Source organism: Homo sapiens, chromosome 3 (assembly GCF_000001405.40).
Source record: "Homo sapiens chromosome 3, GRCh38.p14 Primary Assembly".
Taxonomy (NCBI): domain Eukaryota; kingdom Metazoa; phylum Chordata; class Mammalia; order Primates; family Hominidae; genus Homo; species Homo sapiens.
The window spans coordinates 62,493,601-62,513,712 of record NC_000003.12 but is presented as its reverse complement, the minus strand read 5'-3'; the positions used below and the strand labels follow the sequence as shown (position 1 = coordinate 62,513,712).

Sequence of the window (20,112 nt, the reverse complement as noted above, 5' to 3'; positions counted from 1 at the left end):
TTATAGGGAAAAAGAGAGAAATGTATGAGCATCCTGTCTTCTGCTTGGCCTCCCAAGTGATGGATTTAACCATTCGTGAGTACCTACCACCTCCTCACCATGCTGTCTTCACTCTTTCTGTTTTCATTATTTCAAGAAAATCCAGATCCAAACCAACTCACTCTCCTTGCTTCAAGTTTTTTAGCATTGGCTTGTCTGTTGGTTCTGTCTGTGAAACCCAGTGTGAGAAGTCCAGTCACTTTTTATCAGCCTAAAACAGGTTAGACAATTAAGCCATTTGTTTGTGATAAACTCAGATTTGTCTGTAAGTTTTTCAGTTATTCTCTGTCTGTGACCTGAATGCATTTTTACTTTGCTTGTGTGTAACCCTAATTTGTAAAGTGCTTGTCACTGGTACACAATCAAAAGGTAGCAGCTAGGCTGGGGAGCAATGCGTTAGGTGTCAGATAAAGGATATTTGGGGCAAAATCATGCCTTCTTTTCCATGTTTAAGATGCCAAACTATTATGGGTATGAGACCACACCAGGTGGTCCATTCTCTGTAAAAATTAGATCTTATATGCCTCCTGTCTGTTCTCTATCAAGCTGGGAAGCTTTTCCTTGTTCCCTCTAGAGATTTTGACTTGTCCTTGTCCTCTAAACTTTGCCTAGAACATATGACTTAATTGTCACTTGGAGAGTTCATGTATGTTTCATAGCTTGATTTCACATTAAACTTAATTTTACTAATTTTCTATTTGTGCAGCATTTTCCACCTCTGTGAAGGAGCCTTTTTTGCTGGCCCCCAAACTTTGGGGCGGTGGGAACCCAAGGGCAACCTTTTCTTTCCAATATCATGTATCACACATAAGTGGGGGGCATTTTGGTCCACTTGCTCATTAATTCTGCATATGTGTTCTTGTTTCTCTCTCTTCTCTCCTTGTTGTGCTCTCTCTTTCAAATAGAGAATCAAAAGGATGCAGGTGAACCAATTGTATATGCATTATAAATTATCAGGACTGTTGAGTTACATTCAGTTTTTGTTTTTGTTTTTCAATGGCTCCTTAAGGTTTGTACTCCCAGAGAGCCATGTGGAGTTGCAATAATACTTAAGGAGTTAATTTGTGCTGTCTAAATACATCTCATGCCCATTTGATGTTGACCTTTATAGAGCAGAATTTCTGAAAAGGCATAAGCTTTAAAGGAATAGAATTCTGGTTTGCTGCAGAGCTTCATTTCATCCTTGGTTATAGGATTCCAGTGATTTGGCCTCATGTGCATTTTTTAAAAAGTTGTTTAACCAAATGAATCTTCCTCTTTGTTTTTCATTTCTTTTTTCTGTTTTCTGCCCTATTGAGAAGTTTGTGTTCTTTGATGAATGTTTATCAGCCAAGACAGAGAGAAGTTGTATCCATGTTGTTCTTGTATGTATCGCATGATAAAGCAGGAAGCATGGACAGGATGACCGAACAGGGGCTGTTGCTGGAAGTTGTATTAGAGGAAAGCTCTTGGAAAGTTCTGGCTTCGGAAATTTTCTTCTTGTTTGGTCCCAAAACTTCTGATCTTATTTTGAGGAGAAGTCTGACTTAAAACTTTAATAAATTAGAATAGGGATCATCATTTTTGTAGTCTAAAGGGTTGTCAAAAATAACTATCAGTTAATCCAAATTAACAGTTGAGCACATTTCAAAACATTTCAGAAAGCATTCCTGAGCACATTCCAAGCATAGGGCTGCAATAAGTATTTGAAGACTCATAAACCTGTGTTCAAGACACATGAACCTTTCTCTCTGGTAGGGAAGATATTTATTCAGTCATTTATTCACTCATTCATTCATTTATTAGACAAATGGTTAGTGGGAGCCTACCCTGTAGCAGGTACAGTGTTAAAAGCCAGAGACTATGTAAACAAGAGGGAAACGGCTATTAGCCTCATGGAGTATACATGCAAATGGGTCTATATATGTAAATCACTATATTGCAAGGCCTATTGGTAGAGTTATGTGTAAAAGGGATGGGGCATTGTCAGAAAACCATGGAAGTCTTCACGAGATGGTAAGGATTGAACTGCATCTTGAGAGATGAATTAGAATAAGCAAAGGGGAGCTAGGATTGGGAATGGAAAGTCATCCTACATCAAGAGAATAATATGTGCAAATATGTAAAGCCAGATAGCTAATAAAAAATAATGAATGCTTATTTAATGCATATCATGTTCCAGGTATGATTCTAAGCATATTATTAACTTATTTCTCCTCAAAATCCCTTATAAGAGGGAACTATTATTATTCCCATAGTAGAGATGAGCAAACGGAGGCACAGAACTTAAAAAAACACACATCCAGAAGTATAAGTGGTATAGCTGGAGTCAGCCCAGGCAGAAGCCACACTTTTAACTACTCTGTAATTAATTCAACGTAGCTGCAAAACAGAGTGAAATGATAGTAGTGGATGGGTGCTGATGATGGCAAGGTAGGCAGGGACAGGACTTCAAAGGTCTTTCTATGCCATAATAATGCTGAGTTCAGACTATATCTCATGGTTCAAAATTTCTTAACTTGAAAATCATGCCAACCTTGGCATGCATATGGATTTTTTCAGAAGAAAGATTCCACAGGTCTCAACTGCAAAGGTGATGAAGAGTCATTGAAGGCTGTTTATGCAAAGGGATGGGTTGGCGGTTTACACTGCAGAAAAATCACGCTAGCAGGAATTAAGAGAAAGGACTGAAGAGAGGGAATAGGGTAGAACTGGACTTAAAAGTTGAGGTTAAAGCAGAGATGGGTTTGAAGCTTGGTATAGTGAAGCTTTTTCTAAGTATATCAGGTCTCAATTGCAATCTTAATCATAATTACTTCTTTCCTGGCCTTTAAATGTTTTTTCTTTCTTACCCCTTCCCTCCCTTTTCAATTTTCTTAATGAGAATAGAGCACAAATTCATGGATAGGTCTACATAACCAACTGTATGGAGGTGGTAGGGCACCACCGGAGTTACAGGTGCAAATTGTAGGGAAGTGGGTAGAATACTGGGGACTGAAATATGGACAGCTGCTGAGTCCTTTAGTCAGACTATGCTTTAAGAATCTACAGGGCTATGCAGATGGCATTTTGGTGGACTTATGCTTTATGTTTGGTGGCATTATTAGAAATTAAATGTTCAATTTAATTACAGTACCTCCAAAAAAAGATGCAAAAGCCTGCTAGTCTATGAAAGAAAAGCTGTGACTCCTGCAAATGAATTCTATTATTTTAAATACATTTCCATGTAAACCGTCACACATTCTGAACCCAGCAAGCTCTGAGAAAGTCTACACTACTATTGCTGTTTTGCCTCAGTTCTTGGCTAAATACTTGCATAATTTTCTGAGCATCATAACGATTCCACTGGAATTTGAAATAAAACAACTTTTTCCTCCAAATATGGCAAGGATTTGCAAAATCAGACAGATGATGATTTGTAGACAGACAGCAGATAGATATAGACAGAAATAATTAGGTAGGCAGGCAGATAGATAGATAGATAGATAGATAGATAGATAGATGCAGAAATAGGTAGGTGGGAGGAAAGGAGAGGAGAGAGGAGAGGAAAGGAGAGGAGAGTAGGTAGATAGGTGGGTGGGTGGATGGATGAATGATGGGTAGGTGGGGAGAGAAAGAGAGAAGAGAGCAGCCACCTATGAACCTATGGGCCTTGGCCCTGTGCTAAGGGCTTCTGATTCAATCTTAACCTTAGACTCATAAAGAAGTCTTTATTTTTGCACCCTTTACAGATGAAGGAGCTGTGATTCAGTGAGGATAAGTAACTTTCTGAAGCAGGATTTGAACTCAGGTCTGTCTAAATTTAAATACCATGCATTTTTGTCTCTTTCTACCATGTAGACTTTTTGCCTGATGTGGTGAGCACTTAGACAATATCCATTCATTCAGTGGATAAGGTCAAGTATAATACCTACCACTTTTTACATAGGAAGACTACAAATTAACAGAGCAGTCCTTTCTGGAACTGGATCATTGACAAAATCTTTACATTGTAAATTCTTCCCGAGGGCAGTTGAGATTCCCCAAGGTTGTCCAAGAACTGAGGACTTTTCTTCTCTCCAATTGACAGAAACCTTCTAGATCAGGTCAAATCTATCCAAAGGACTTCCAGGAAGATTGTGTGATGTTGAGGTTTTGTATCTTTCTCTGTCTCCAGGCAAATTTCCTACAGATCTAAGGCTTGTTGAAAGAGAGAAAGAGAACCAAGCTGGCAAAACTCACCAACACATAGAGCCAAGCCACCACCCCACTGTCTTCCACAAGGGACCAATAATAGTGAATCTCATCCCCACAGGATGGCCATTCTGAGATGAGGACCATCTCATGCTTCATGTCTTATACATGAGGGACTAAGTGGTTCTCTTTTATTTCTTTCTTTCTTTCTTTCTTTTTTTTTTTTTTTTGAGACAGAGTCTTGCTTTAGAGTACAGTGATAGGATCCTGGCTCACCACAACATCTACTTCCTGGGTTCAAACAATACTTTTGTCTCAGCATCCGAAGTGGCTGGGACTACAGGCACACACCACCATGCCCAGCTAATTTTTTGTATTTTTAGTAGAGATGGGGTTTTACCATGTTGGCCAGGTTGGTCTTGAACTCCTGGCCTCAAGTGATCCACCCACCTCGGCCTCCTAAAGTGCTGAGATTACAGGCATGAGCCACCACACCCAGCCTTTCCATCCTTTTTGTTTCAGTGGTGCATAAATCAGGGTTTCCAAGCCCAGATTATTCTGTGGACTAGCACCTCATCTATACTTTACCATAAGTGGGGAGGACAAAGAGAAACATGTTTTAAACACTGTCACCAAGAAAGATTTTGGGAAAAAAAAGGATGTGTTAAAATATGCTGTGAACCCACAAATATGAAACCAGTGTCTCTCTCTTCTATCAGAAAAAAAGATGTGATGCTGCAGATTATGATAAAAATTGTTGTTTATTGAGAATTTAGTATGTGCTAAGTAGTTATACATATCTCATTTAATTCTCACCATGACCCTGTGAGATAAGTGTTTTATTACCATATTTCATTGAATCTAAAGGGCCATCAATTATAAGCTGCGCCATTCATATACTGTATTGTGACATGCTATCAAACATAAGATGCATCCGGATTTCAGAAATGTTACGATGTGCCTCTTACTTCAATGAAATAAGAACTTATGCATTCATGCATGGAAATCCTGAAGTAGAAACATGTTAAGTCACTCCCCCAAGGTTAAACATCTGGTTAGTTGTAGAGTCAAAATTTGAACATGACCCTGTTTAATTCCAAAGTCCCCATTTTCAACTTCTACACTATAAAGTGCTTGTGATTTGTTAGCAATGAAACTGTATAACACAAAAGAGGTTTCTTGGTCATTGACAGCTAGAAAAATCAAGGCCTGGAGAAAAGAAGCCAGGTTCAAAAAAAATGAGTAGTCAGTGACTCTCCAGTCTCTTGTCCTATGTGCTATTCAAGAGCCATCACCACCCCACCAGGCTGCCTTACCTTTCAGCCAAGATATAACGGCCCTATCCACAATCCATTAACTGGTCTGAGCTTCCAGTAGGACATTTGATGACATCTAGCATCCACATGTTAGAGTCATATACGTGCAGCTCTAAGAAAACACTACCTCAAGCCCAGCCTGAGCACTCAATGATTTGTTATACCCCAAATTCAAATCCTTATCTTGCCTCCACTGGGCTTTCTAACCTCTGTAACCTCACTTTTATTTTCTATAAAAGGTGCTAATAATGGTTCCTCCCCCAGAGAATTATTGCAAAGATTAAAATACATATTCTAAATAAATCGGTTAGCACAAATGCCTGGCACATAGTAAGTGCTCATTATATATATTAATTTATTATTTGTTTGAAAGTATTTAAAAGGATGTTCTTCCAAGTTGAAATGTATAGTATAATGATATCATTTGATTTCAGAAATGAATCATAAAACAGTGCTTCTTCAACTTTAATGTCCATCTGAATCACTGGGGATCTTGTTGAAATGTAGGTTCTGATTCAGCAGGTCTGGGGTGGAGCCTGGGAATATGCATTCTTAACAAGCTTCCAGGTGATGCTGAAGCTGCTGATCCAGGGATGGTACTTTGAGAGCCAAGGGAATATAAGAGGTATTCAAATTGTCTTTTATTATAAATTTCAAATACAACATTGCAATCTCCATATATATTTGTTAAATATCCACTAGGTTCCAGGAGCTATGCCAGACACCAGGGGAGTGTGTGATGAGCAAAAGCAGTCATGCTCCCTACCCTTGTTGAGCTTACCAAAAAAAAAAAGAAAACAGAGACATGAAACAAGCAATCACAATCTGATGATGATAGTAAAGGGAACAAGCAAGGTGTCACAGGAGTGCAGCACAAGGGAATTTTACCCAGGCCAGGGTCTTTGATGAATTGCAGAGCAGGGGATAGTGCCAGAGAAGGGCATGATGTAGGTCAAAGACTGGACCCCTAAGAAGAACTGACTGGGGTGTTCCCTAGCCTTGTTTCAGTGTTTGCCTCTATTCATCATCCCTCCAGATGCTCCAAGCTCCCGCCCAAGACAGCTTGTGGCAATGTACATAAAAGTTTATTTGGGGACTAAGTGGGTACTTAGTAGTACTACTGAATCAGAGAAAAAAAAGAACTCAAATAGCCTAAGCAAGAAAAGAGAATTTTTTGGTTCATGTAGCTAGGAAATCCATGAAGGAGTTGGTCTCAGAAATGAAAAATGTTCATGTGTTTTCATATCTCCAGCTGCTGACAGGCTTCTTTAATGTGACTGGAGCTAATGGTTGAAGTTTGGGAAGCAATATGGCCACAAATAGCACCAGCCTTTTATCCTAGCTAATGACTCTAGAAGAAAAAGAGCATTCCTCTCCAAGCAACTGTATACAATTCCAGAGAAGGGCCACAGTGGCCCAGCTTGGGTCACATGCTAACCCCAGAGCCAGTCATAGTACCCATGATGGTATGAGGTACTATGGTTGGCCAGGTGTAGCTCATGTGGCTTCCCCTGAAGGATACTTTCCTTGGAAGTCCCACCAAAATAACATGGAGTAGAGAAGGTAACTCCCCTAAGCAAGGTTCTTGCACATACAAGGACAGATTTCCAACACAATGTCCATGCAGAATTAAGCTCACTTTTCTTATATGCAACAGCTCAGCCCGAGGAACAAAGCCTGAGTTGGCATACAATACCAAATTAGAGAAGAAAAACCATTACAAGAGTGTTATATTTCTTTCTTTAATTTAAATTAATTTGTATTAAGTTAAATAAAATTATTTTTAATTGTCTTAAATAGTTTTTGTTTTTGTTTTTTGAGACGGAGTCTTGCTCTGTCACCCAGGCTGGAGTGCAGTGGGGTGATCTCGGCTCACTGCAACCTCCGCCTCCCGGGTCCAAGAGATTCTCCTGCCTCAGCCTCCTGAGTAGCTGGGAATACAGGTGCACACCACCATGCCCAGCTAACTTTTGTATTTTTAATAGAGACGAGGTTTCACCATGTTGGCCAGGATGGTCTGGAACTCCTGACCTCGTGATCCTCCTGCCTCAGCCTCCCAAAGTGCCGGGATTACAGGTGTGAGCCACCGCGCACAGCTGTCTTAAATAGTATTTAATTGCATTAAGAAACCTGATGTTATTCTCTGGCTTGGAAGTTTAAGTTATGATGTTTACTATTCAGAATTCAGCCTAGTACATTTGTTAAGTAACCAGAGACTTTGGATAAGAGATAAGAATTCCTGTGTAGTTTGTATGTATACTGAAAACACAGAGCATTTTATTTTTCATGAAAGCACTGCATTGGACAGGATCCACTGAGAATTCCCTTCTACCAATATTTGATGACCTACCCTGGCCCCAGCACTGCTCTAAGCCCTAGAAATACAGAATTCCCTGGCAGACAGGGAGATAGACAAATGTATATAATTTCCTATTATCCAGGGCCAGAAGTGCTCAAGTAGAAGCATCGACAGAGGAGCTGAAGCTTTGCTATGATGGCACTCTCTTGTTATGGCATATGAAGGCATAACCCTTGTCATGAAGGGAAGCTCTCAAAGGTTTTTAAGCAGGAGCATGACAAGTTCAGATGTGTGCTTAACAGAGATCACTCTGACTGCTGCATGGCAGAGAATGAACTGCAGAAGAGAAAAGGGACTGAAGGCTGCCTTGGAGGCTTTAGCAACAGTTGAGGTGGAAATGATGAGACCTGAGTCATATGCCCACCCCCTCGGCAAGAGTGTGGATAAGCACGTGATCTAGTACGGTGTGAGATAAGAGACATTTTGGAGGTAGACTGGACAAGCTATACCACCTAAGTCCTTACAGGGAAAAGACAACGATGGCTCCAATGAAAAGCATGGGAAAAATCCATGATCCATCCAACAGCCTGTATTAACACATACTTTAGACTGACCTAGAGCTGGAACCTTTTGAAAGGGAGTGGATATTGGAGAATCAAGGGGATCAAGTATACATAACAGACAGTCCCACTAAATAAATTGTATTAGATTTCAACCTTGCATGTTTTTGGCCTATGTAGCCATCATTTTAGGGAAGCTGGGTATTCAGGATAGTATGATGTGGCTATCTGCTAAGCTTTCTGTTGCTACTTGAGCTTTTATCTACCCCCACCCCCAGATCATAGCAAATTGCTACAGGCTAGTTATTTTCTGTAATTGCATAATACAAATACTAGCATCTTCAGCAACACATCAATAGGCTGGAACTTGGTAATAAGTGAGTTTCCATCAATCATATTCATCTCTCATATGATATTTCAGGGACTGGCAATTCACTAGCTAGAGCCAGAGTTGGTCAGGTTATTTAAGGGCTAATTGGAGTGTCTCTTGCTCCTGGATGCATCTCTTCCTTGGCTTAGATAAGCCTGCTGCGGAATTCTCTTTTTGTTTTTCTGCAGTCACATTTAACTCTCTCTCTGGAAGCCAAGCAGATTTAATTGTGTAAACATGAGCAATGGTAATTGGGTAAATGAAGTTGGAAACCAAGGTATGATGTTTTTGTTTTGCTCTTTGAGGAAAAAAAAATAGGGAGCTTGTTTTTCTATGGTGGCAAACCTCACTGTCAGAATTCTGGACAGACAGTTGGCAGGAGGAAATCCCTTTATGAATTTCTCATCAAGACCCATTTAGCTGAAATATGTATCTGCTGCCTCATGGGTGACAGATCAACCCAGAGGCGCCTTATTGTTTTATTCACCACCAGATCAAGTCTTTCTCTACCCAGGTTCAGTTAACTGGGTGAGAATGAGTCAGGAATTTCTGTGAGAACTGCACATGCAGGTAACATGCATTCACTGAAAGAGCCATGAGGATGGATTACCAGAAATGCTCTTAACTTTAGGCAGTGCTGTCAGTGGAAAACCAGATTTTAACAAAATATACAATATGGAGTACTATTTTTTATGATGAAAGGATTAGTAGTTGCCTCCTTTTAAATGGTTATCATTTAAAACTGAGTCTTCCAAATTCTATTTACACACATTTTTTTCCCAAACAATTTCAATAAGAGGAAACTGTTAATTTTTTTGTCCTGTATTCTAAACACTGAAATGGTCCAGCAAGAAGAGGATCTCATGCTTTTAATAGATGATTTTTGCCAGAATATTATATTTTATCCATATTTTTCAATCTTTTTTATTAATGTCACTAGAATTCCATTTCCTACATGCCTGCAGTAAAATTCATTTTCCCAGTTGAAAATTCAAGCAAACCAAGAAGGAAACTTGGCAATGGAGTATGTCCCTCTCACCATACAGATTGCTTTATAAACCAGAACTATTAGAAAGGAGCAGGTCCAAGGTTAATGAGACACTCATTAAAGAGAGAGAATTGCAGAAGCTGATAGTGCTCTGTGCCTGTACTGAAGGAGAGGCTATTGTTATAGGATGTTTGCTGTGCTGATATTGTAAACCACATGACAGATGGGTCAAGTGCTGATTACAGTATTCTAACATTTGGAATAGCAAGTAACATATTTGATAAGCTGGCAAGTTTTTATATATGATTCAACCCACAATATAAAAGCCACGAGAATTCCAAATTGAAAATAATTAAATGAGCTGGAAACAATCAGATACCACACATTTTCCCCCAAAATGACAGATTTTGACATGTTGAAATTCCACAAAGGGAGCAAGAATATTTCCTAGCTCACTTGAACTAATAACGGCCCTTCATCTGCTTTTGCAAAGCAATTAATTGCAGCCTTCTCACAATGTGGAGGTAGCAATAAACATGTGTAGGCATCTTGAGCTTTACAGAGATCAGTCCCATAGATTGCTTTCTTTGCTCTTATCAGCAGCCCTGTAACATATACAAGAAAAGATACTCTCAATTTATAGATGAGGAAACTAAAGCACAGAGAGGTTCAAGTAGCAGATGCAAGGTTACGTAGAAAGTAAGTAACATATGGGGGATGACAAGCCAGATCTTCCAACTATTAATATATCAAGTCCTATTTCTGGTCATCTGTAAAAAAGAAGCAGCTATTAATGTATAGGTGTTCTTCATTGTACGAAGTGTATCTTTTTTTGGTCAGTGCTGCTGCTGCCATCATTCATGTGTATCCATCTGGATAAAGCATCTGGTATTTGCATTCAGCCTCTGAGTGTCTCGGTGGTGGTGGTGGGTGGGGGTTGCTGGTGACACTGGTAAGAGTCCTTGTCAAACAATGTCACACCTCTGTAGTGTTGAAGAATTGCCAAGAAAGCAGCAGCTCTCCATTTGTGTTTTATCATTTTTGCTTATTTGGTTGTTCTTTTCAGAGTTTGTCATCTTACTTGTCACCCTTTGTTAAAGTCACTTTGTCTTTACTTTTTTACTGTCTCTCTTCACCTACCCAAGCAGCTCCCCTGCCACATCCTGGGCCTCCTCCTCCACCCACCCAAACACAGACCAGCATGTTATATCAGAGGCTCAAAGGCATGCCTAGGCCAAAATCAAGTACCGTAAACTTTCATCATTCCTCTACTTGGCAGCTTTCTAGTTTAGTTTGCTTTTCTGTTCACCTTTCTTCTTGAAATTTTGTTTCAGTTTGGAACACTAAGCTGAGACTCGGGCTCTCAAGTATAATTTTATAGGTTTTGAGATACTCAAAAGAGAGCATTTATTTCCAAATGTCCACATATTTTTTGTCTAGCTATGTCTGACATATGCAACATTTTCAAATCTCAATGTCAGCACAAAATAACATTGTTGTTGCGTAACATTTTGCATGACAATTTTTTCTGTGTTATGAGCTTCAATTCTATTGTATGAAATGGTTCTTAAGTATACTATATTTTTAGTTCCATTTTATCAGTGCTCCAGCTAGCGCAAGCTTGGGGGATAGGAATATTGTAATTCATCTGAAGACAGCGTTAAGTGGCCAAAAAAAAAAAAAATCACTTCTAAGCACAAATTTCTCCTTGACCTCTGTTGGGGAGAGGGAAGAAGTGCTAAAGGATTTTGCACAATATTTTCTTTAAAGACAACATCTTAGGGAATTTACTTTTAGTTCCATTTTGCCATTTAGCTAGTAGTACAGCAGCTATGCAAACAAACAGGAAAATAGTGCAGTGTCTCACTAATGTGGCTTGATCTACAGATGATGGAATCACAGCTAATTAATAGTAAATGAAAGACTGGCTACATGGGTTAATTGGCAGATCAAGTGTTCTAGATTAAAGGATCCTTAACCTGCTTACTTTAATGGTTTTATGTTCAAGTAAAATTGCAAAGGGTTTTATTAAACATACTGTCTGTATATATACATCAGGCATACACATATCTGCGTACATGTGCACACACTCATAGAATGGCTGCATGCACATGCACAATTTATGTGTATCTATTGATATCTATTGTAGTCAATCTAAGAGTACTGCCTATTAAAACAAATCTTCAGGTGGTCCTAGCTTCAACATCTTGGATTTTTCCAAACATAAAAATTATTGACTTTTTTTTAAAAAGTGCATAAAAATATTGGTATGAATTATTTATTTATCCTATGTCATAAACAGCCAGAATTCCCCTAGATTTGGGGAGTGTTTCACCCAAAAGGACAAAGCTCTCTATTTTTAAAGCAAGAGATTTCAAAGATGTGCCCCAAGTGGGATTTCCTGAAGATTTGTATTAATGTGCAGGCTTGTCTGTTACTAGAAAATGTATGTAAGTGTGTGATGTGTGTATGTGGGTGTATGTGTCGAATGGGTAATAAGCATAGGATGAGGAATTTGCAAATTGATGTGTAAATGTGAATATCAACGAACAAAAAATAGTAGCCTGTGCATATTTACTATCAAAATGCAAATACCTCACTCTACACATATTACCCAAAAATATATACACAGTATGTTTGTAGAAATGCCTGAAAGTCTACGAATGAAATTATGATAGTCTATTTATCAAATTACTAACAGGTCAGATGCCCCAAAAGCACAGAAGTCAATCTTGTCATACACTCTTTCTCTAAATATATGTTGCTCTAGACCAGGCAATGGGCTCTCAGCACCTAAGCTCCCACATCTACTTATTCTGAGTGTTGGTTGTTCTCTGCCTAATCCACATGTTTATGTTTCCCACAGCCCCACCTTCAGGCTCTAACCAGATCCAGCCACATTTCCATCTGGGTTTGGCAGAGATAATGGAGCTTTCCATTGACTTGAATCCAGGAAGCCCATTTTCACACTAGCCCTCAGGCCCTGTTAGACTGAGACTTTCAACACCTGGCTAGTCTTACCCTGTCCCACTAATCACCTTACATCCCATTTGCTAGAACACTCTTCTTGCATAGTGTCTCGCTGAATTTATTTTTCATTATTAAATCCTAAATTACTAATGACCTGATATGTTCATTACGTAAGAAATGCATAAAAGAATATTAAGAACCTTTTTTTTTGTAAATTAGCAATCTCTTATGATTTTAAGTCTGCCTACTTCCTCCCACCCACTGCTGCCTGCCAGAAACCTTCCTATTTAGTAATAGGTAATTCTTTCTAGCAAGAAACATCCTGAAGCCAAAATATACCTGTTTCAGATGAAGAGATGAAAAGAAATTTTGCCAGTTCTTTTGCAAATGTATGTACCTACTTGGGGAATTCTACTAAATGATGTTTATTTCACTATATCCCATGTGCTCTGACTCTGAGACTTCAAGGTTTGAAGGGGGCTAAACATGAAATACAAGTTCCCCTGGAATTCAGACTGGTTGAATCCAAGCAGTTTCACTGGCCAAGAAAACCTTTATGTTTTGGCCGGGCACAGTGGTTCACGCCTGTAATGCCAGCACTTTGGAAGGCTGAGGCGGGCGGATCTCCTGAGGTAAGGAGTTTGAGACCATCCTGGCCAGCAAGGTGAAACTCTGTCTCTACTAAAAATACAAAAATCAGCCCGGCGTGGTGGCGGGTGCCTGTAATCCCAGCTACTCAGGAGGCTGAGGCAGGAGGATCACTTGAACCCAGGAGGCAGAGGTTGCAGTGAGCTGAGATCGCACCACTGCCCTCCAGCCTGGGCAACAGAATAAATGAGACTCCGTCTCCAAAAAAAACAAGAAAAAGAAAAGAAAGAAAGAAAACCTCCTTTATGTTTTAAATATTACTGTTTTCCCAAAGGAAAAAAGTTTGTAATTTTTGGAACATAATGACATTGTCAAACTCATGAACTCAGCTCTAAAAAGAAGGCAACATAAGCCAGGGTTCAGATTCTTCTTGAGCTGGGTAAAAATACAACACTTTCAGTTTAAGAGAAACTAAAAACAAAGAAAACAATTAAGTACATTGTTTCAGTTTAACTGATAAAATTTCAATTGTAACAACCAGTAGCACAAACTATCACAACCCATTCAATAATCTACTCCTAACACCCTTTTAAGAATTATTATTCCTGACTAATGGCCCAGGCATATCCAATTTTTCTTTTCTATCTCCTCCCTGGACAACTTGAAGCAGACATTTGAATCTGCATTTTCAAAATGAGCGTTCCAACATACGCGAGCCTGCAATGAAAAATTACGCTGTAGCATTTAATAACTAATCTAAAAAACAAATGTAACAGCAATCAATATTAAACTTCTGTTAATCTTCCCACTTCAGGTAGCATAATTACAATCTAGAGAGTGGTATAGTACATTTATGCTGTCTTTAAAGAACATGTGTACAAAATGTCACTAAATTTGATATGGGCTGTCATAGACTTAATATAGCTTCATATGCAAATTTGAAGCTGGAGCACTGCTTTTTTCTAATATATATTATAATAATGGTGATAATAATAAAATGGCTTTATGGTTTGCTCACTACTAATTACATGGCACTTAACATTTGCATGAATTTTTTTTAAAAAACTGATAACTATTCTCAATTTCTTATCCACTAGTTCTAATGGCCATAAAAGTAGCCTGCCACTTTCGCTGAATTTTAACACAAACTCTTGTACTACAGAAAATGTAGGCCGGTTAATCACTCCTGCCAAAAAGCTTGAAGATACAATACGTCTTGCTGAACTAGTCATTGAAGTTCTTCAGCAAAATGAGGAGCACCACGCAGAGGTGAGCAGGCTTGGTGGGAAGTGTATCTTACTGTCCCTTAGCTGAGCTTGCAGAGCTGATTTTCCCAGCCAGATTGTGAATAAGATGCCTTAACACCCATTTTCTTTTAACTGGGATTGCAAAGGGAATGAAAGTGGAAGTTTTGCAAGAAGTCTTTGGAAGGTTATTTTAACCAACCAAAAAGTGGTTGCATGTTGTATGTTTCGGCCTAAGTTTTCAGATGTTTCTAGCGATGAACAAATGAGGTGAGTGCTTTTTAAAGTTAATCATTCAAGCAGCATCTGGTTACCATTGTCCAGAACACAAAATATTTTTTGGTTTTTTGTGGTTGTTTTTGTTGCCACCACTGTTGTTTTTATTAGTTATTTGGTATGAGAACCACAGACCTTCTTTCTCAATTTATCTCGGTAACTTACTCTGCTTGTACTACAGTCTTCATTTTTTTTTTCATCTTAGATTGCCTGGGTTGTTAAACACAGTGACAGAAGCAAATTATTCTGTGTCGTTCAACTTGTCGATTCTCCAACATACATCTAAATAAATATAGCTTACTTTTTTTAAGAAACCACTGTCAAAATGATCCTTTTGATAATAATTATAAACCAAGGGATTTCAAGGCTAACTAAATCCCAAACCTATAAGGACTTAAACAACCTAACACTTCCAAAAAAATTCCAAAATTTCATGATGGTTAAATGGTTATATCAATGCTCATCTCAAAAGTGAGATTTAAAATCATCTCTCTTAAAATAATCTTTTTGAAAATTGCATAATTCTCCCCCTTTCTCTACATTCAGATTTACAGCAAAGGGGAAAAATGACATTTCCTAAAAGTAATTTCTCAAGTACCTAAAATGGTCATTCCATGACTAAATGGAAATTGCCAGTATAGTTAAATAATATATAATACGCCATAAATCCAGCCGTCCCGACTAATGCCTGATTGCATATTTAAATTTCCTCCCTGTTTTTCTACTATTTTATTCAATCTTGGCTGATCATGGCAGGGGAAAGAGGTATGTGACTAAACCGAATGAACCAGCCACCTGCTGTCATACTTTGTGCATGCCCTTCCAGTACCATGTCTTCTAATGGGACTTTTCCTGGTGCTCCTGCTTTCTAACACTGACCCAAGGAATGTAACAGCAACTTCCAGTGGACTGCTTGTGGAATGGGTGACCCTCCACGGCAGGGTCAATGTGGGTGATTCTCTTGTGCGTGCATGAAGCAATTGATATACTTAACAACGACTGCAGTTACATCCCAACACAACGCCTCCTACCTGCCTTGATTCTGTCCTTAGCCTGGTGTAGTTTCCTATGTCTGTCTGTACTTACCTTTATTACAGCAGATGAGTATCAAACTTAGTAACCAGTAGCTCACCGGAGTGATACTAATCTTCCTCAACAACCGTCTCTATGTGAATCATATATACAGTATTTATATATAGAGAGAGTACTGAAGAATTTTTTTCCCTGAAAACCCTTAAAGAATGGGGGTAAGACCCCTTGAGGCAGGTAGAACTAATTCATGCAGCATCTATCCGCAACGCACAGCCATGAGTGATAGGGAAAAGCAAATCGATAACCTCCAAACATGTAAACAATTAAGTGGGTTAGAATATTTTTCCTACGCTATCCTATAGGATGTTCTTTTCAGATTGCAGGCATCTGGGGTTCCGGCGATGGTAAGTGTGTTCTTCCCACGTGTCTACAAAGTCATCTCCAGAGGCATGGAGGGGCTCCAGCCTGCCCTCCTCTGATCTGAGTGGTTGAGGCTCTTCCCATGATGCTGGGCCAAACCCACACATTCTTGAAGACATAAATACAAAGAGCACAGTTTTCTCAGTCACAATTGTGCTTTTAAGTGAATCAGAGGAGAAGAAAAATGACAGATATACTTGATTTATAATCAAGTTATTTTTGGAGGCTGCTACGGGCTAAGAAAGGATGTATATTTTTCTAAATTGCTCAAAAGAAACACCAAAGGAGGGCTTATATGCTAAACAAGGCACGTTTCACTTTTCCAAAAAGCCCTTTCTCGCTGTGTTAATCCTTATCCTAAACTGCCCTAATAACCATCATCACAAAATATTTTAATCTTGTATATTCAAAAGCCATTCAAATTAAATAGAGTAGACATCAACTCAATTCCCATTACCAACTTTAAAACTTAGTAATGAAAACTTCAGCATACTTTGAAGTGCCTGAGACCAAATTTTCTTTTAGATAAATGTACAGGATTCTTTCCAAAATTAAAAATTTTACCCAATCACAAAATCTTCTCCATCAATCAAAAGCTACCTATTGAGCGTCTTCCATCTTCTGAGCACTGAGGCAACTACCTTGGTGCTTTTTGAAAGACAACTAGGCATAGGACAGCCTGTCCTTCAAGCAATAGAACGCAGGGTGTCCAGGAGTTTAGGCTCTGTGCCAGAGAAGTTTGGCTTTGAATCCTAGCTTTGCCTCTTCTCTTCCAGTATAACTTCTCTCATCCTGTAAAGTGGAGATAACAATAGATGGTCATTGTTAGAGTGGAAGGCCACATTCATTAAAGCATCTGGTGTTATGCCTGGCACAAAGTGAGCACTCCACAAAGCTTGGCTCTTTTGTTATGAGGAACAAATTGCTAAGGAAACAAAATATAAGAATATCTGATTATCAAAGTGACAAAACCTGTGTGGAAAGTACCAAATGAACAGAATAAACAGAACGTGTTGAGAGCAGATTCATTTCAAGGTACAGTGGGCCAGAAAGGCACTACCACCTGTTCTCAACTTTTACTTACAGATTGCAATCACGTGGACAGCTCTTGAAAATTCAGATCTCCAGGTCTTGTCCCAGCTCAATTTATTGAAATCTTCCAGGGAGGTGCTGAGCATGGGTAATTTTTAAAAGCTGCCCAGGTGATTCCAGTGTACAACCAGGGTCAAGACTGGCTGGAGTACAGTGGAAGAGGTAGCCTTACTGCTGGCACACTAAACATAGGGTTTTTCTTCCCCAAAAGAAAAAGTAAGACAATTATGTTCTACTGATCAGTACTCACTACCATGTTCTCTGGGTGCTCAGTATATTAAAAAAAAAAAAAAGAAAAGAAAAGAAAAACAAAAGACTAAATCCTAAGCTTGGATCTTGGCTGTGTGGCCATGCTGTTTGGTGGTACCACTCAAATCAAAGTGACTAGTAGGCTTGCCTCCTCCACCTAAAATAAAAACAATAATCCTTAAAGGCATTTTAAATTCCAAGATAAAGTAATTAAATGTCCCAAGAAAAGAAATCTCACCAGCTAAGAGTACATCATATGCACACACATGCGGTATATGGTAGCAGTGGTCACAGTTATCTCTTAATTGCAGCTAAACTCTGTTTCCAGAGTCTAATCTATTCACAAACATACACACACGAATTATGCCTTCATGTATGGTTGCTACACCTTCCCAATCTCTCTCTATGTATACGTATGTATATGTATATATGTATTGTGGTATATAGAGGAGTACATATATACATGTTAGTTTGTGTGCAAAATATACAGTGTGTTTGATGTAGACTGTACCCCTAAAGCACACATCTTTGTCTTTGAATAACGAAAAGCTCTGGGTAAGTATTTAGTAGCCGAAGTATAACTCCTTATTCTCCTTATTGTCTTTGGAAAAGGTTTATAAGACTTTAGATGCCCATGAACATTGTGAGTTAGCTCAAGTACAAAAATAGCATTCACCTGTATGAGCAAGCATAAAATAAATATTTTTAAAGCCTGGCCTTTCCCAACCCGGTCACACAGATTCTGTTCATTTAATTGGAATTACACTTTTGCTTTCTGGTTGTTACTGCCCTTGCTAGAATCATTTTGTTCTTCTTGGAGAGTCAGGTTTGATTATAAGGTTTTGAAAAGAATTCCCTTGAATGTACAAAAATAGCTCTGGTCCTCACTTACTCTACAGTCCCCAAATTTAAATTCTCTTGGTTCACTAGATCCCTAAACTGTTCTACCAGACTCCAATAGCAATGATTCATGCCACAGTAGTCATCGTTCTTTGCAGGGCTATTAATATCTAAATGATTATTAATGCAAGGATGGTAAATATTTGCTCAATAATATATTAAATTACAATGAGGGATGAAGTTCTCTATAGATCGTAGAAGTGGCACTTCTTATGACCTCTGGTTTGCAACTTTTAAGCTAAAAAGCTGGTAAGAGGCCAGGTGTGGTGGCTCATGCCTGTAATCCCAGCACTTTGGGAGGCCGAGGCAGGTGGACCAGCTGAGGCCAGGAGTTTGAGACCAGCCTGGCCAACATGATGCAACCCCGTCTCTACTGAAAATACAAAAACAAACAAACAACAAAAAAAAATTAGCCAGGTATGGTGGCAGGCGCCTGTAATTCCAGCTAGTCAGGAGGCTGAGGCAGGGGCTGCAGTGAGCCAAGATCGCACCATTGCACTCCAGCCTGGGTAACAAGAGCAAAACTCCGTCCAAAAAAAAAAAAAAAATTGCTGGTAAGAGCCAGGTATGAGGTTGGGTTAATAAACTTTTAATTGCAAACATTTGAGCTTGGTTTTTTTGTTTTGTTTTGTTTTGTTTTTTCCTGTCATTCTAGGGCAAATTATATCTGGGGAGGCAACTCAGTCTTCCCAATAACTTTTCTTGGACTCATCCTGAAGATGTAAAGTTAGTTGAATAACTAAAGAATAAGTACTAGCCAACATTTAGTGTACCTTTGTGAATTTTTCAAATGTCTGGAATCAGGATTGATGAGAGTCAGCCTTCCACACAGGGGTGGAGATGGAACTTCATCCAGCAAGTTCCAGGGTTTAGATGGTCTCTGCCTAAAAGGCTGGTGTCTGGGAAAGTTCTGGGGGTGGCATGGAGGGTTTCTCTATCTACTGGACTTAGCTAGGTAGTCAGTGGAGTAAGCCCTAAACCCCAGGGCTCTCATCTGCAGGTGGTGAAACTACAATAAAACCTCATCGGTTCAGACCCAAATATTGGAATCTGTGAAAATTCAATTGCAGATGTGACTCTTTCTCTTATGTAATATATTTAACTTGATCTCAACTTTCTCAGGAAATTCTAAAGACTCTTCTTACAAGTTAGAGGAATCCAATACCCTTTTTTCCATCCTAGGATCTATGAAATTAAATCTACTGTTTCTTTGACTTCAATTTATAAGTCATCTTATCTATAATTATTACATGCTTAAAAAACGTTTACACTTATGTTGCATTAATAACTAATGTAAACTTAATGAATACTTTTTACTTTAGTGTCCAATTATAGGCTACATTCAAAAACAGTAAAAGGATACCTCTTTTTAGAAAGTCCAATAAGTTAGGCTTTTTTTTGCTGACAGGCCAGCATCTCCCCTCTCCCATTAATCTGAATCAGTGAGGTTTTACTGTAAATTAAAATGGAAACAGCAGGTGTCTATTTCCAGCCAAGCCAACCTTGCAGAATGGTCCATGACTTGATTTTTTTCATTTAATTTGCAAACCAGCCACATGTTGATAAAGGAGAAGTAAGTAAAGTGAAATCTCGTGAAAGAAGAGAGGTGGACCCCTA

At 38.9% G+C, this 20,112-nt stretch overlaps 1 protein-coding gene across 50 annotated transcripts in view; it reads left to right on the top strand.

The window, feature by feature from the left end:
• CADPS (calcium dependent secretion activator) overlaps positions 1–20,112 on the top strand; it is a 477,069-nt gene that overhangs the window by 361,704 nt on the left and 95,253 nt on the right. For 10 of the 50 annotated variants that reach the window (NM_183393.3, NM_001438352.1, XM_011534199.3 and 7 more), the window contains one exon: positions 14,445–14,551. In NM_183393.3, coding sequence (NP_899630.1) covers positions 14,445–14,551 — 107 coding nt within the window. Of the gene's footprint in view, positions 1–6; positions 76–944; positions 963–14,444; positions 14,552–15,558; positions 15,568–20,047; positions 20,069–20,112 lie in introns of all 50 variants that reach the window. The other 40 variants (NM_001438350.1, NM_001438348.1, XM_047449106.1 and 37 more) reach the window with 11 other exon arrangements.